This window comes from Homo sapiens, chromosome 18, assembly GCF_000001405.40.
Source record: "Homo sapiens chromosome 18, GRCh38.p14 Primary Assembly".
NCBI classification, from domain to species: Eukaryota; Metazoa; Chordata; class Mammalia; order Primates; family Hominidae; genus Homo; species Homo sapiens.
Window position 1 is genome coordinate 8,601,338 of NC_000018.10, and position 16,221 is coordinate 8,617,558.

Genomic DNA, 16,221 nt, shown 5'->3' on the forward strand with positions numbered 1-16,221 from the left:
CAGTTCTGATGCTTGAGCAAGCTCTGGCCGAAACACTTTATTTCACAGAGCAGTGTGGGTATCTGAACAAAAGTCATGGTTCCGTTAGCATTGAAAAGAATGAGGAAGTGGTTGTTGCATGGATAACCAACAGTGATTGCCGTAGTTGCTCACTGGCATTCTGATGTGCTTTCTTGAGGAAGAGCAAAGGGAGTAAGGTATAATCAGAGCAATAGGAATGGCACATAATGTGGTATGTCTCTATGGGAATGTGTGATGAAAATGGCTAAAATGCATCTCGGCTGGAACCAGATTAAGACCTGCTTGCTTCTCTGTATCTCTGGTCTTCACTTTGCGTGTGTTACTCAGTCTAGTGCAATCTCACTCCCACCCTCATTGCAATGAATGCTTTAAATATGGACAGTCCTCTTTGCATGGTAGAAATTTCAGTTACCACAGCTTAGTTAAATAACACCAGTTCCCCAGCATTTCAGATTTCAGTTACCACGGTATATTAACTATGAGTAATTGCAGGAAGTACAAAATTCACAGCTAGCTCTTTAGTTCACAGATCACTACATAAATAAACAACACTTACATCATAATCAGTGATCCATGATGTCTGTTGTGGACACTTTGAAGAATAGAATGAACTCCCATCAAAATTTTTGGTTTGGATGTCAAGACTGATGACACCACACACACACACCAAGAAGGTGTATGTGTTCTTTACATTGGTTTGTTATTTCTGGGAAGAATAGGGCGGCCCTCCCAAGCTGGTTTGAAAATGGCTTGAACAGAGGAAGGGAAACTGGCTGGGGGTATTGATTGTGCTCTGGGGAGTGGACTAGGATGAGGGCTCTACACATAAGCAGGGACTTGCATGGTTTGAATCTGTCACCAAAGGAGGGAGCACACAGGCTTTCTTATCAGCTTGCCCAGATGTGGGGCAGAAGCTGAAGAGGGCGAGGTGAGACTTCAGCAGTCAGACATCAAAAAATGGAGTTAGGCCGGGCACGGTGGCTCATGTCTGTAATCCCAGCACTTTGGGAGGCCAAAGCAGGCAGATCACAAGGTCAAGAGCTCAAGACCAGCCTGGCTAACATAGTGAAACCCTGTCTCTACTAAAAATACAAAAAATTATCTGAGTGTGGTGGTGGTCACCTGTAATTCTGGCTACTCGGGAGGCTGAGGCAGGAGAATCGCTTGAACCCAGGAGGTGGAGGTTGTAGTGAGTGGAGATCACGCCACCACACTCCAGCCTGGGAGACCGTGGGAGACTCCATCTCAAAAAAAAAATGGAGTTAGATTCTTTACTACAACACCACTTGTATCAAAATCTCTTGGTAACTGATTTCTGTGTAAGTCAGTCAGTTCATACACAGACAGCAAAGCATGAAGCAGTGATGCCTCCTTGTCTTTCAGTGGTAAGCCCATGTGACATTTCACAAAAATAGGCAATCAAAAGAAGAAACTGGCCAACAAAGATCAAAGTGCAGCAGCAAAGAAACAAAATGTGCCATATGGCAGCCATGGATGGAGATGCTGGTGGGGGGCTGTGCCCTGGGGTCTGTGCACTACTAGCCCATGGTGGACAGGATTGTACTCCATTCCTAAGAAGGACAGAAACTGGAGAACCCAGGCTAGCCCATCCTAGAAGACTTTTTTGGAGTTTTGCTGAAGGGAGGAGAAAGTTCTTTAAAGGAAGCTCCAGGGCAGAAGGAGAGGAAAGAGAGAATGAGGCAGAAAAAACAGTTGAAGAACTAATGGCTGAACATTTCCCAACTTTGGTGAAAGACATATTTTCATATTCAAGAAGCACAGTAAAACTCAAAGCAGAATTGGAAATAAAAAAACAAAAATGGTATCCCTTGGCACATCATAGTCAAACTGCTAAAAAGCAAAGAGAAAGAGAAAATTTTGAAAGCAGCCAGAGAAAAAGAACACACTGCATACACAGAACAACATTTTCAGTGTCACTGTTTTCTCATGAAAAACAATATAGGCCAGAAGACAGTATAACATCTTTAAAACGCTGAAAGAAAAAGTCAACTCAGAAATGCTTTTCCTGGCTGGGCACGATGGCTCACGCCTGTAATCCCAGCACTTTCGAAGGCTGAGGTGGGCAGATTGCTTGAGCTCAGGAGTTTGAGTCCACCCTGAGCAACACAGTGAGACCCCATCTCTACAAAAAATACAAAAATTAACCAGGCGTGGTGGTGTGTGCCTGTAATCCCAGCTACTTGGGAGACTGAGGTGGCAAGATCACTTGAGCCTGGGAGGTGGAGATTGCAGTGAGCCAAGATCACGCACTGCACTCCAGCCTGGGTGACAGAGCAAGACCCTGTTCTGAAAATAAATAAATAAATAAATAAATAAACAAACAAACAAATAAATAGAAATGCTTTTCCAGTGAAAGCATTCTTCCAGAATGAAAATGAAGTAAAGCTATTTTCAGATAAAAGAAAACAGATTTCGTTATCAGCAGACCTACACTATAAGAAGTGCTAAAAAAAAGTTCTTCAGAGAAAAGGGAAATGAAACCAGATGGAAGAACAGAGCTACGGGCTGGAATAAAGAGAATGGTAAATTTGTAGGTAAATACAAAATGTATTTTTCTTTTTAATGTCTTTAAAATACATCAAACTGTTTAAGGCAAAAACGGTTGTATTGTGGGGTTGGTAACATATGTAGATGTAACATATACGAAAGCTACAGCATGAAGGATGAGAGGGTAGACTCATACAGTTACAAGCGTCCTGCATGTTACCCGCAGTGCTGCGATATAAACTCGGAAAGACTCAAGAGTTCAGGATGCAGACTGTAATCCCTAGAGCAGCAGGTCTCCATGTGTGGTCTAGGATGACCCACAGTCCCTAAGATCCTTTCAGGGAGTCTGTGAGTTCAAAATTATTTTCATAACAATAAAAAAAGAAACAAAAAGTGATAATGCTGGAAGTGAAACCTGAATCTACTGTTAAGTGGAGTAATAAAGGAAATAGCTGACTGTGGGAAATGTGATTTTGCTGCCACTCGGGAGGCTGTAGATGTGCGATCAGGAATTCTGTAACGGCCAGCTCGTCGCTGTCACAAGGAGGAAAGTGGCTGTGATCAAAAGGACAAAGGTGGCCCTGAGGAAGTGACACGGGCAAAAAACCTAACATTAAAGAAACTCTCAGAGCTATTTCATGACACTGAAAGCTCAAAGGATGAAAAGTTAGAGGCCGGGCACAGTGGTTCCTGCCTGTAATCTCAGCACTTTGGGAGGCCGAGGTGGACAGATGACTTGAGGTCAGGAGCTTGAGACCAGCCTGGCCAACATGGTGAAACCCCGTCTCTGCTAAAAATACAAAAATTACCTGGGCGTGGTGGCACATCCCTGTAATCCCAGCTACTCAGGAGGCTGAGGTGGGAGAATCGCTTGAACCCGAGAGGCAGAGGTTGCAGGGAGCCGAGATCGTGCCACTGCACTTCAGCCTGGGCGACAGAGGGAAACTCCATCCCAAAAAAAGAAAAAAAGAAAGAAAAATTAGAAGCTGATCCAAACAGAATGGAGTATGACAATTCAGCAAGGCATAAAAAAGATCTTAACTCCTTATAGTAAGTTATATGGGCTGGACGCAATGGCTCATGCCTGTAATCCCAACACTTTGAGAGGCGGAGGCAGGTGGATGGCTTGAGCTCAGGAGTTCGAGACCAGACTGGGCAACGTGATAAAACCCTGTCTCTACTAAAAACACAAAAATCAGCTAGGTGTGGTGGTGCATTCCTGTAGTCCCAGCTACTTGGGGGACTGAGGTGGAAGGATTGCTTGAGCCTGGGAGGTCAAGGCTTCAGAGAGCTGAGATCACACCACTGCACTCCAGCCTGGGAAACAGAGTGAAACCCTGTCTCAAAAAAAAATAAAGAAAGAAAGAATTAAGTTATATGGCAAGAAGAAGACAAGCACTGTTCAAACAATTATTTATAGTTTTTTTTATTATAACAGAGACGAAGTCTCACTTTTTTGCCTAGGTTGGTCTCGAACTCCTGAGCTCAAGTGCTCCTCCCACCTCAGCCTCCCAAAGTGCTAGGATTATAGGTATGAGCCACCATGCATGGCCCAAACTATTCCTGATAAGTATTTTAAAAAAAAAAACACTTAATTCTCAATGTTTCCGGCATTTTAAATTATAGTGTCCTAAATAAATACTAACTTTACAATTTTTTCTTCATGTCTTTATACACGTATAGCAATAGTTGAAGTGTTCTCAATGTTTTGACAAAAATTTTAAAGGCCATGAAATAATAATAATAATTTTCCCATTGGTTATTAAGATCACTTTCTACTATTCAGGCTTAAGCAACGATCTTTATGGTGTCTGACTACCTTGCAAATCTGTGACTGCCTGTACTTATTTTATGTGACCATTCTGTGACACGGGGCTCTTTTGATCATTCCTGCCTTTGTGAAACACAATTGTGCCCTGTTTTTCCATGACCTCACTATCTCCAGTATCCCCTCCCTCCCATCCCAGGTTTCTTTCCAGCTTCTCTTCTCTTGCTTATCTTTTGGATGCTGGTGATCCTGGAGCTCTGTTCTTGACCTTTTGTTTCTTACTCTACATACTCTTCTGGTTCTGGCCTTTGTTATACTTGAAACTTCTCCCCCGTATTAGCCCGTTTTCATGCTGCTGATAAAGACATAATTGAGACTGGGTAATTTATAAAGAAAAAGAGGTTTAGTGGACTGACAGTTCGACGTGGCTGGGGAGGCCTCACAATCATGGCGGAAGGCAAAAGGCACGTCTTACATGGCACCGGGCAAAAGGGAAAAATGAAAGCCAAGTGAAAGGGGAAACCCATTATAAAACCATCAGGTCTTCTAAGACTTATTCACTACCATGAGAACAGTGTGGGGGAAACCACCCACATGATTCAATTATCTCCCACTGGGTCCCTCCCGCAACACGTGGGAATTATGGGAGCTACAATACAAGATGAGAATTGGGTGGGGATACAGCCAAACCACATCATCCACCTCAGGTGGTGATGATGTTGTTAAAGTGAAGACAGTGAAAAAGGGAGACTTCACCAAATGATAGGAGGGAGGTTTTTTTTTTTAGGAAAAAGCAGGATATGGGGTGTCTAGGTTTAAGACAGAGCCCAAAGAGCCAATGAAGTTTATGGATAAACTATGAAATGTTCTATAGGGATATCTACGAAAATGGATATCTATGGATATAGATAGCTATAAAAATTTCATTAATTCATTCACTTCACCAATATTTACTAACTTGTACCATGTGTCAGGCACAGTTCCAGGTGCTGGAGCACTGTGGACTGATACCGTGTGCGGTACAATTCAATACTTTGCAAGAGAAAGAGACCACATTCACATAACTGTTATTACAGTATATATCTTCATAGTAATTGTATAGTTGGCTCTTGAACAATGTGATTGGTAGGAGTGCCGACAACATGCAGTCAAAAATTTGTGTATAATTTTGACTCCCCCAAATGTTAACTACTAATAGCCTACTGTTGACCAGAAGCCTTACTGATAACATAAACAGTCGATTAAGACATATTTTGTATGCTATATACATTACTGTAGTCTAGTAAGAATATTATATTGTAAGTTACAAAATATGTAAGTTAGAGAAAAGAACACGTTATTAAGAAAATCATAAGGAAGAGAAAATACATTTACTATTCACTAAGTGGAAGTTGATCATCATAAAGGTCTTCATCCTCGTCATCTTCACATTGAGTAGCTGAGGAGGAGGAGGAGGAAGAGGAGGGGTTGGTCTTACTGTCTCAGGGGTGGCAGAGGCGGATGAAAATCTGCATATAAACAAACCCATACAGTTCAAACCCATGTTGTTCTAGGGTCAACTGAATTTTATTATTAGTTATTGTTAATCTCTTACTGTGCCAAATTTTTAAATTAAACTTTGTCATAGGTATGTATGTATAGAAAAAAACATAGTATATAGAGGGCTCTATACTCTCTGAGGTTTCAGGCATCCACTGTGGGTCTTGGGACATATTCCCAGGGGATTAGGGGCACTATAATAATTGATTTAAAATAGTGAATATGCACTTACCTGTCCTCCAGAAACACTGCCCAACCTCTGTCATTTAGTTCATTAATTATTCTAGTGGCAGAAACTACAGATCTACCTTATGGGGAAGATATTTTATTTTGGGCAAGAAGGTCTTCAGCCCCACAAGCCATGCCACATGCATCTGCCTATTAAGACAGGCGGTGCTATTAATCAGAATGGACCAAATTAAAAATCTTGAGATTACCTTTGCAGATGCGTCTTGCTTTGTAAAATCACAGTATTCCTGAAAAGCCATGCATAAATCAGTTTCTTTAATCCCTTACATTTATATAGTGCCTTATGGTTGCAGCAGACTGCAGAGATTGTTAGTTGCTTTTTTCCTAACAATGCTAGAGGAAAGGAGGGGCCACTACTCTCATTCTCATAGAACAGAAGAGAAACCCACAGCTAAGAAATGTTCTGCGGCGGAGCACAGTGGCTCATGCCTGTAATCACAGCACTTTGGAAGGCTGAGGTGGGAGGATCACTTGAGGCCAGTTCAGGGTCTCACACTGTTGACTAGCCTGGTTAACAAACCAAAACCCCAACTGTACAAAAAATTTTTAAATTAGCCAGGCGTGGTGGCACGTGCCTGTGGTCTCAGCGGCTCAGGAGGCTAAGCAAGGAAAATCACTTGGGCCCAGGAGTTCCAGGCTGCCGTGAGCTGTGATCGCACCACTGCACTCCAGCCTGCGCAACAGAGCAAGGCTGTCTCAAAATCAAAACAAAACAAAATGAAAGAAAAAGAAAGAAAGAAGGAAAGAAAGAAAGTAAATTCCGTGATGGTAAGTGATGGATCTGTGTTTCAAATAATATAGAGGGATCATATTTTACATATTCTCAGAATTCATATTATAAAGATCCCTACAGTGACTGCACAGTTAAGAATGCTCTCATAGATGTAAACTTCCAATCTACACTGTGGGCAACGCTAGATTTTTACAAATCAGGTTTGCTGTGTAACATATGCGTGTACTGTGCATTACTAAACCTAGTTCTAAATACAGCACAGCTGAAATTTTGTGGGTAACGTGATCATTCGGCAAATGTTGCCAGCCCCTATCATATTCAGAACCCTGTGTTCTGAGATGCTCAAGTTCAAGCTGAGGAATTTGCTAAACAAATCTCTGGCAAGGAATCAGCAGTGATTTTCTGTATCCTTAAATCCTTCCAAACAGAAATGGCAAAACATACGACCCGAGTCCATAATTCCTAAAGTTTCAATCTTCTCGCACTGTTTGAGTTTTAACTCGCTTATTCCCCCAAAGGAGTATGCCATTTACTTAATTTAAAAATTAAACAGCATAAAAACTTCTGAACTCTGAGTGAGACAGCGATCAGAGTTAAAAATAACTGATTTCGCGCGTTTCCGTGCAAAATGGGAGACAGACGTGACGGAGAGAGACCGAGCAGTGCCACGGCCCGGTAGAGGGTGCGGGGGCTTGCACCCGCTGGTGTTTGTGAGAGAGCGCTGGTGTAGACGCGAACGCAGCGCAGGCGGCCCGGCGGCGCGGCCTCAGGTCGGGGCCTTTCCAGCGTTCCAGCTACACCGAGCGCGCGGGGGCGAAAACATGTGCATGGTGTTTGGGGACTGTGCGCATGGGAGTGTTTTCACTGTCAACCAGGGTTCTTTTTCTTATTTTGAACCCATTTTCATGATGCACCGGAATGCTGAAGTTCAAAATTGCCTACGGAGAATTTTAAGACTAAAACCACACTAAGTTTCTTGTGTTAACTATAAATGCGGGTCAGAGTGAAAGCCGAGTAGGGAGGAGTGAAAAGGGGGAAAAGGGAAGAGATAAGAGGAAGAAAAGATGAAAGAGCCGGCGGAAGAGGGAGGGAAGCGGGGGCGGGCAGGCGAGCAGAGGCAGGGAAAGAGCGGCGCGGGTTGCGGGAAAGCTCCGCGCGCAGTACCCAACCGAGGCCCGGGCGCGCGGTCCTCCCGCCGGCAGGGGGCGCCCACCCGCCCGCCTCCGGCCCCTCGCGGCCAGCCGCCCCGCCCGCGCCTGCGCTTCCTGCCCCTCCTCGTCCGGGATGCTGCTGCCGCTACTGCGGAGTAGCTGCTTCCCTTCCTCCTCTCCCGGCGGCGGCGGCGGCAGCGGCGGAGGAGGAGGAGGAGGGGACCCGGGCGCAGAGAGCCGGCCGGCGGCGCAGTTGCAGCGCGGAGCCCACGGGCCGCCGGGGCCGCTCCAGCGGGCGGAAGCCGAGCCCGGGGCCGACCCCCCGCGCGCGGCGGAGGCCGAGGGGGCGCCGGGGCCCGGGGCGCGCAGCCGGGGGGCGGGCGGCGGCGGGCGGCGGGCCGAGCGGGAGCCGCATGCGTGTATGGATCCGGGCGCCGCGCTGCAGAGGCGGGCCGGGGGCGGCGGCGGTCTGGGCGCGGGCTCCCCGGCGCTGTCGGGCGGCCAGGGCCGCCGGAGGAAGCAGCCCCCCAGGCCGGCCGACTTCAAGTTGCAGGTCATCATTATCGGCTCCCGCGGCGTGGGCAAGACCAGCCTGATGGAGCGCTTCACCGACGACACCTTCTGCGAGGCCTGCAAGTCCACCGTGGGTAAGGGCGCCACGGCGACCCTGGGCCGGGCCTCCTGGCGCCCGGGCAGGTGCCCTTCGCCCCGTGGGCTTCGAGTCTCATCGAGCCTGGGAGTCTTTCGGGGATGGGCCTCTCGGTGAAACTAGGGGCGGGGGTCTCCTTGGAGCGCCCTGCATCCCAATCCCAAAGCCTGGCAGAGGTTTTCGTGCCGCCTCCGGGCAGACCTGCCCTTGGCCCCCGGCCCTGCCTCAGAGGTCCTGGCAGCCCCCGGGGCCTGTGGGGGCGGCTCTCCACGGAAACTTCGGCCCTTAGCATACTCGCCCAAGAAAAAGCTGGGTTCGAGTGGAGCGCAGGCAGGCAGGGGAGTGAACGCCTAAGGCCGCTCTCGCCCGGCCCGCCAAGGCCAGCGCGCGCCGTCTGCTGCGGGTGTGATCCCTGCGCAACCAGGGCAGTTTTCTTATTTTGAACCCATTTTCAAGAAATGAAGTTTAAAGTCACCTATGGAGAATGTTAAAACTAAAACTACAGTAAGTTTCTCGTGCTAGCCGTACGTACGGGGCAGAGGAGCTTCAGCTGTATTTATCCATGACCTCAAACAACCCGGTGACTGGCGGGCATGGGGTTGATTCCTCCAGTACCGCTGTTTTCGGTGAGGGACAGGAGTGAAGTAAGTACAGGAACGCTCCAGGGTCAAGGAGGAAAACAGCCGTGGATCTGAAATGGAAACTGCAGGGGAAATTTTTTTAATTAAGTCATGCTTAGAGGACTTGACATTGAGATTTCTCAGTTGGATGTGGGTAGCAGTTGTTTCTATGGAAAACCCCTTAAAAGATGTCCAAACTAGGAGAACCCCGTTCTTTAAAATAAAGGGCAGTCACTTCCGTGATAGGAAGTGAGAGATTTCCCCAGGGGCGGTCCAAGAAACTGAGTAGTCAGGAGATTTGATAGAATTAAAAGCATAATTTCATGTAATTCTATTTATTAATAGTGTTATAACCAGTGGTAGTTCCAAGGCTGTCAGTACGATTTTGAGATGACTTGATTTGAAATTGTCATGTAACAAAACAGTACTACATTTAAAGTGTCTTATTGGAAAGTGAAACCTCCAATTTTTGTACTGTCTTTCTTGGTTTGTTTTCAAGAACTTACTTCCCTTAATGCTTTTTTGGAATAGATCATTTTGGAAATATTTGTGATGTCTGTACCATATGTTTTTAAAATGTTGTCGTTGGAGACATTATATTAAAATGAGTAGCATAACTATACCTGTTTCAAATATCCAGTCTTGGATCATGCAGAGTACAGGGAGTTGTTAAACCATCAAATGAGGGTTAGGCTGTTATTTTAGTACCTGACATAAATAAAGTAGGGTTAAATTCCGTTTAGAATTGTCAATATTTTATGGCTCCGTACTTCAGTATATAAAAATGAGAGATAATAGAGTTGCACTGTGTGATGAAGAGAAATCAGGTACCCATAGGTGGGTAACTGAGGGCTTGAGTGGATGGAGGGTGAGATGGATGAGCAAAGGTGTGCTTTAGAATGCAGAAGAGGAGAGAGGAAGAAGGATTTTCTAAGCCTGGCAGCAGTGGAGCAGCCCCCCACCTCTGGGGAGGGTTCCTTAGGGGACTTGGGAATGGATGCTGCGAGACCTTGACCGCCATGCTAAGGAGAATGGACCCGATCCTATGGGCACCTGGAACCAAAAGACTCCTTAGTAAGGCATTGGCACGAAAACAGTTTGGCAGAGTTGCATAGGATGTTTGGGAATAAGGAAGAGCTGCGGAGGATGCTTGGGAATAAGGAAGAAACCAGGAGGCAAGGAGACCAAGCAGTTTGTTTCTGTGTCCCTTAACAAACATGCACTTACCCGAGCACATACTCCCTACTCTGAGTGTGGTTGAATTTCTGTCTTGCTCATTTTTGTTTGCTTCACATGTAGCCTATAATACTTAGAGTACTGGAGTACTTTAGTACTCAGTGCGTGCTTCTAACTGTGGGATGTTCAGAGAATGATCATGGCCCCTGGCCTGCTGCAGAGCGGGAAGACACTGTGAGAACGCCAGCCAGCTCCACTTCAGTTTCTGCTTCAGAGTTGCTTTTCCCCTCCACTCATCAGATCGTTTGTTGAGCACCTACTGTGTGTTGGGTGTTATGCTACCCAGTGGGGATTCAGTGGTAAACAGGACATCGACTCTGTCCAGAAGTGGATCGGAGCTTCTGGGAGCTGCGTGACCGCTTGTCAGGGCAGTGACAGATGTGTATGGGTATTTGGGAGCACAGTGAAAGCGCCTCCAGTCGAGGCTAGTGATGAGGCCTGGTCAGAGAAGGCTTCCTCGTCATTGGAATGTTTGAAGATAAGTTTGTTCCTCTAGTTCCTTTAGAAAAATGCAAATTAAATATGGTACTGGGTGTGGTGTAGAATTGTGGTTGCCTTACCTGAACGCTTACCATTTGAGCAGTTAGCTCCCGGGGTTCTTCCCAGGCTGGTTTTTCTAGTTTCATCTTCATGTAGTGCAGTGAATTCCATATAGAGCAAGAGTCTCTTCCACAGTAGGAGTTTCTCCCTACCCTGTCAGGGCTGCTCGCGACAGCCGTCTGGGAAAGACCGTGAGCCTCACAGCATGGCCCAGGGAAGAGTCCCTGAGTGTGCCTGGACCAAGATGGGTCACTAGAGTGGTAGTATTGTCTAATTCCTAGGCTAGGAGAGTGTTTCCATTAAGAGCCTTTTTATTTTTATTTATTTATTTATTTTTGAGACAGAGTCTTGCTCTGTCACCCAGGCTGGAGTGCAGTGGTACGATCATGGCTCACTGCAGCCTCGACCTGCCAGGCTCACACAATCTTCCTGCCGCAGCCTCCTGAGTAGCTGGGACTGCAGGTGCACACCACCAAGCCCTTTTTTGATTTTTAGTAGAGACAAAGTCTTGCTATGTTGTCCAGGCTGGTCTCAAACTCCTAGTCTCAAGCACTTGGCCTCCCAAAGTGCTCAGATTACAGGCGTAAGCCACTGCTCCTGACCAGTAAGTGCCCTTTTAAAGTAAATGGGATTCACTTGAACTTTCTATAAAAGATCCGTAGTGGAAGTCCTTAGGGATTTGAGATGATGAACTATTATGTAAAATTATAAATGAGCAAAATGTTGTTTTTTGTATTGTTAATCAAATCAGAAACTGGTTTAAAAGATTTACAAAATTCACAAGGGTATGAAAAACAGAGGTTGTATTTACTGATTGGTCTGTTTAATGGAAATTGTCTAATGGAATTGTCTCATATTTTCAAATGGGATTTTGTTTTCATGGAATTTAATTAGTCTGATTATAATTTACAAGTTCTTTTAAAAAGTACAGGAGCAGCTTTTTAAAGTTTGAGAAACAGAAAAAAGTAATTGACTAAAGAAATTTACAACTAACATGCCTGGTCCACTATTTTCCTCATAGCAGTGCCTGTATCACAAGCATACTTATCCACCATGAATCTGTGTGTGCTTTTGCAAGTTGACATTATTGCTTCCTGAGTGAAGCTGTAGAAACCATTTCTATCTAGCAATGCCGAATTCTTGATCTTGGTTCCTTCTGTTTGACTCTCATTAGTTTTAGCATAAACAGGTAAATGTGCTTTTTTAAAAGTATATTTCAAAAAACAACTCCATAAAATTACATATCTGTCAATCTTTGTTTTATTTCTATGTTACTGTTGGAAGCTAGCTGTTAATTTTGTTTAGGTTGAAATGGTTTTACCTTTTAAAAACCTACCCCCGCCCTTGCTCCAACAGCATTGCATGCTGGAAAAAACACTAGAGTAAGAATAAGAAATGTGGGTTCTTGCTCCAGGCTCTGCCACTAACTAGTTTGTGACTTTGGATAAGTAATGTAGTTGTCTGTGCCTATAAATAGAAGTAGTAGTAGTAGTAGTAGTAGTAGTAGTAGTAGTAGTGGTCACTGCTATATGGTGAGCACTTACTACACCAGCAGAAGGCCTCATCACAGCCCTGAAAGTTATCCCCGTTTTACAGATGAGGACGAGAAGTCTCAGAGAGGTAGAAATTTACCTGCTGTGGCACAGCTGCTCAGCAAGTGGTCAGGGCCAAGGGCTGCAAGTGAATTCTTTTTAACTATCTTTCTGTCTGTTCCTTAGCTTACTTTCAGGTTTAGATTGACTTTGCTTTGTTGAAAATACTAATGGCTCACACACATAAAGGTCAGACATGATGGAGCCCTTTCCTCATTTTAGAATTTGGTCCTTGTTACAGCCCTGTGAAGATAGTGACATAATTATCCTATGGTATTAGTGAAACTGATTTTCTTTAAGTGTGCCCCTGTCATTACTTGTCACTTGCCTTTTGAATTAAAATAATGCTACAAGAACTGCTTTTTAATCTATATATTCCATCATTCAAATTCAAGTGTCTTAAGCCTTTTACATACCAAAATAGGTATATTTGAATACAGGAGAAGTCAAAGAAAGGCAATCTGGACCAGAATTCTGATTTTTCTGGGTAGTAAAGTTTCCTTCAGAATGCTGGTGGCCAGCATAGGATTGCCAGTTCTTTATTTTGCCAAGTAAGAACATTAAAAAAAAAAAAAGAAAAAAAAAAGACTTAAAAAAATTAGGAAAGATAAGATACCACAGTTTAAAAGTTTTTTATTTTATTTTTTATTTTTATTTTTGAGACGAAGTCTCACCCTGTCACCCAGGCTGGAGTGCAGTGGTGCGATCTCTGCTCACTGCAAACCTCCGCCTCCCAGGTTCAAGCAGTTCTCCTGCCTCAGCCTCCCAAGTAACTGGGATTACAGGCACTCACCACCACGCCTGGCTAATTTTTGTATTTTTAGTAGTGACAGGGTTTCACCATGTTGGCCAGGCTGGTCTCGAAATCCTGACCTTGTGATCCACCCTCCTCAGCCTCCCAAAGAGCTAGGATTACAGGTGTGAGCCATCACCCCCAGCCAAAAGTTCTTTAAATTTATCTTCATTTTTCTCATTGTGCGGCAGTGCTCTAAACTTCACAGCCTGGCCCCCTTAAAGGATGGCAGCCCTTCGGTGAAGCCCTTTAACTCCGCTGCAGGCCGCAGTCCTGTGTGCTCTCTGCCTGACTCCCCTCTAGCCTGTGTTGACATGGGGGTGCACTCAGGATGCCCACTGGTGGGGCCTCGGCCTGAGACTGCTTACGCTGGGGAAGTAGGGTAGTGCGAGTGACTCCGTTTCTTTGGACCTGCGGTTGAGCTGGCAGCAGAATGGAGGGGTCCGAGAAACGGGTGAGTGTGAATCCCTTGCAGAAATGCTCTCTGGGGGTCTGCCCTTGAATGTTAGGCGGCATGACAAGTCAAATGCAGTCCACCAGGGTCTTCACCTGGAAATTGACTACTTGTACTTTATTCTGGAAACTTAGGGCAGAGATTTTTGTTAGAAAACCCAGAATGAGCATCTCATACTGGACTTAAATGCTTAACTGTGTATTTTATTTTGCTATACTGTATTTGTACACAGTCTTCTAAGCCATGACCGATCTGCCCGTGTTTCACTTAAGAGAGAATTAAGGAAAATCATCCAGAATTCCCACTCCAAAAGCCCAAGCTCTGCAGCCCTGCAGTGTGGTTTTGCTCCATCTGGAGAGAACCTCACACAGACTCCCCTGCCAAAATGATGTAACATGATGACTCAGGGATGTGAGCGTGAGAGGAACCAACATTTAGTTCTTATACCCACATATGCTGTGTGTTGTGTGATTAGGTTTATTTAATGAACTTAATGCAAGCTGAGAGGCTTGACAAAACGTCCCCTTTTGTGGACTGAAGTAGCTATCTTTCAGAGAAAGCATGCAGATTTAGTTGGTGTTAGGTTGTTTATGTTGAATAAAAATCTATTTAAAGACCTGGCTGAAGTGCATTCAGCCTTTCACTGTCTGCACTTACAATAAAAAAGAAAGATTTTATTATGCATGACAGAGATCCAGATTCTTAGAGATTGCCTCTTTCCCTCTGGTCTGTGGAATCTGCCAGAAGCCATCTGTTAATGGATCTTGGAACTGGCTGTAGAAGGCAGAGTAGGTTCCTTTGAGAACTGATAGGTCCAAATTATTCTCTATCCTTGGGTGCCAGATACGTTGTTCCAAATAAGCATTAGTTTGAATTTGTAAAGAAAACAGCTTTGTACAGTAGTCATTCTACAAATAGTTTTAAGCAGCATTTTGTATTTATATAAGACACCATCCTGCTCGACCTTCCCCTGGGCACAAAGCTCACACCTGGTTTACCCTTTTCAGAGAGGAGGTGAGTCACGGAGGTAGCCATAATAAGTGTTAGAAAAGAGTGCCTCCTGCTTCAGCTGAGGAAGACATTTATCATCCTCCTTTTGTCCTTTAATTCACGTCTTTGACATTTGGAAAGTATTTGGAAAGCCAAAACTACAGACCAAAAATTGTGCCCTTAATTGAGTGTGATTGTTAAAAAAAAAAAAAAAAAAAAACTTGTGAAACTGGGAAGCACAGCACAGGCTGAACAGAGCACTGGATTCCATAGAAAATGTTTTCCCTCCAACTCTGACAAACTCCACCCTTTGGTTTCTGGTGCCTAGTTAACAAAACAACCTGCAATTCCAACTCCACGTCAGCACTTGGGCGAAGGAATAGGCCCCTATAAATGAGGAGCTTTGTGTTTTTCGCTGGCTTCCTCTCACCTCTTCAAGCCATGTGTGTGGTAGGACCTCAACACACTTGTCGATTGGCTAAAGAATCACACACCTGCAGTCAAATTTTCACTTTTAATTTTTTACTTAAAAAGAAAAAAGAGCAGCCTGGGCTACATGGCGAAACCCCATCTCCACAAAAAAAAAAAAAAATGAAAAATTAGCCTGGTGTGGTGGTGCACACCTGTGGTCCCAGCTACTTGGGAGGCTGAGGCAGGAGGATCACTTGAGCCAGGGAGATCTAGGCTGCAGTGAGCAGTGATGATGCCACTGTACTCCAGCCTGGGTGACAGAGTGAGACCTTGTCTCAAAAAAGAAAAAACACTCCACCTTCTCCTTGGCCACCACTGTCTTCCCAAGCCATGGCACTTGTGGAAAGAGATTTTGGAGGCAGGCATACAGTCCTGCATGTAAGTTTCAGCTCCAGGACAGGCTGCCAGCTGTCCTTAGGCAAGCAGCTTACCTCAGTGTCTTCACTTATAGGAAGAAAAACAAAGTGGGATTTACACTTTCTTCACATCTCACAGTATAGGCATAAATGAAGTTAAAATATCTTACATGTCTGGCATAGAAAAGACAATTTTTAATTCTCTTTTCCTAATTTATCCTGTAGATCCGAAAACTCTGAAACACTCCATAAAAAAATCCTTACCCTTTAATGATACACACTGATATATACAGATGATATAAATTTCAAAATGTAATCACATGTCCTGGGTAAAACATAATCTGTTTGACAGTCCCTGTGTTTTCATGGATCCATTCTGAGTAGTAGTGAAGTTCAATTTTTTTGCATATGAAGAAAATGTTAATAATCCACTGTTTGATCATGGTTTTTTTTTTTTTAATCTCTTCCCTTTAAATATTCTCCTCCTCTTTTGACCAGGAACTCAAATAACATGGTAGCATTTCAGATGGGGGTTTGTCTGAAGGCAAGGA

At 44.7% G+C, this 16,221-nt stretch overlaps 1 protein-coding gene across 3 annotated transcripts in view, besides 4 other annotated features; it reads left to right on the forward strand.

Annotated features, from left to right (window-relative positions):
- Positions 7,928–8,157: a silencer, noted in NCBI's record as "silent region_9271". NCBI's record gives its function as "represses an Ori minimal core promoter by ATAC-STARR-seq in GM12878 lymphoblastoid cells {active_cell/tissue: GM12878}" and the evidence as "EXISTENCE:reporter gene assay evidence [ECO:0000049][PMID:35858748]".
- The window catches only part of RAB12 (RAB12, member RAS oncogene family), a 29,947-nt gene continuing 21,825 nt past the window's right edge, over positions 8,100–16,221 (forward strand). For all 3 annotated transcript variants that reach the window (XR_001753165.2, XR_001753166.2, NM_001025300.3), the window contains exon 1: positions 8,100–8,616. Coding sequence is in view for 1 of the 3 variants with exons in the window: in NM_001025300.3 (NP_001020471.3) it covers positions 8,103–8,616 (514 nt within the window). In the remaining 2 variants the exon portion in view is untranslated. The remainder of the gene's footprint in view (positions 8,617–16,221) is intronic.
- Positions 8,588–8,887: a silencer, noted in NCBI's record as "silent region_9272". NCBI's record gives its function as "represses an Ori minimal core promoter by ATAC-STARR-seq in GM12878 lymphoblastoid cells {active_cell/tissue: GM12878}" and the evidence as "EXISTENCE:reporter gene assay evidence [ECO:0000049][PMID:35858748]".
- Positions 9,338–9,387: an enhancer, noted in NCBI's record as "active region_13062". NCBI's record gives its function as "activates an Ori minimal core promoter by ATAC-STARR-seq in GM12878 lymphoblastoid cells {active_cell/tissue: GM12878}" and the evidence as "EXISTENCE:reporter gene assay evidence [ECO:0000049][PMID:35858748]".
- Positions 13,216–14,037: an enhancer, noted in NCBI's record as "H3K27ac-H3K4me1 hESC enhancer chr18:8614551-8615372 (GRCh37/hg19 assembly coordinates)". NCBI's record gives its function as "activates a minimal SCP1, AML or CMV promoter by ChIP-STARR-seq in naive H9 embryonic stem cells {active_cell/tissue: H9 hESC(naive)}" and the evidence as "EXISTENCE:reporter gene assay evidence [ECO:0000049][PMID:30033119]".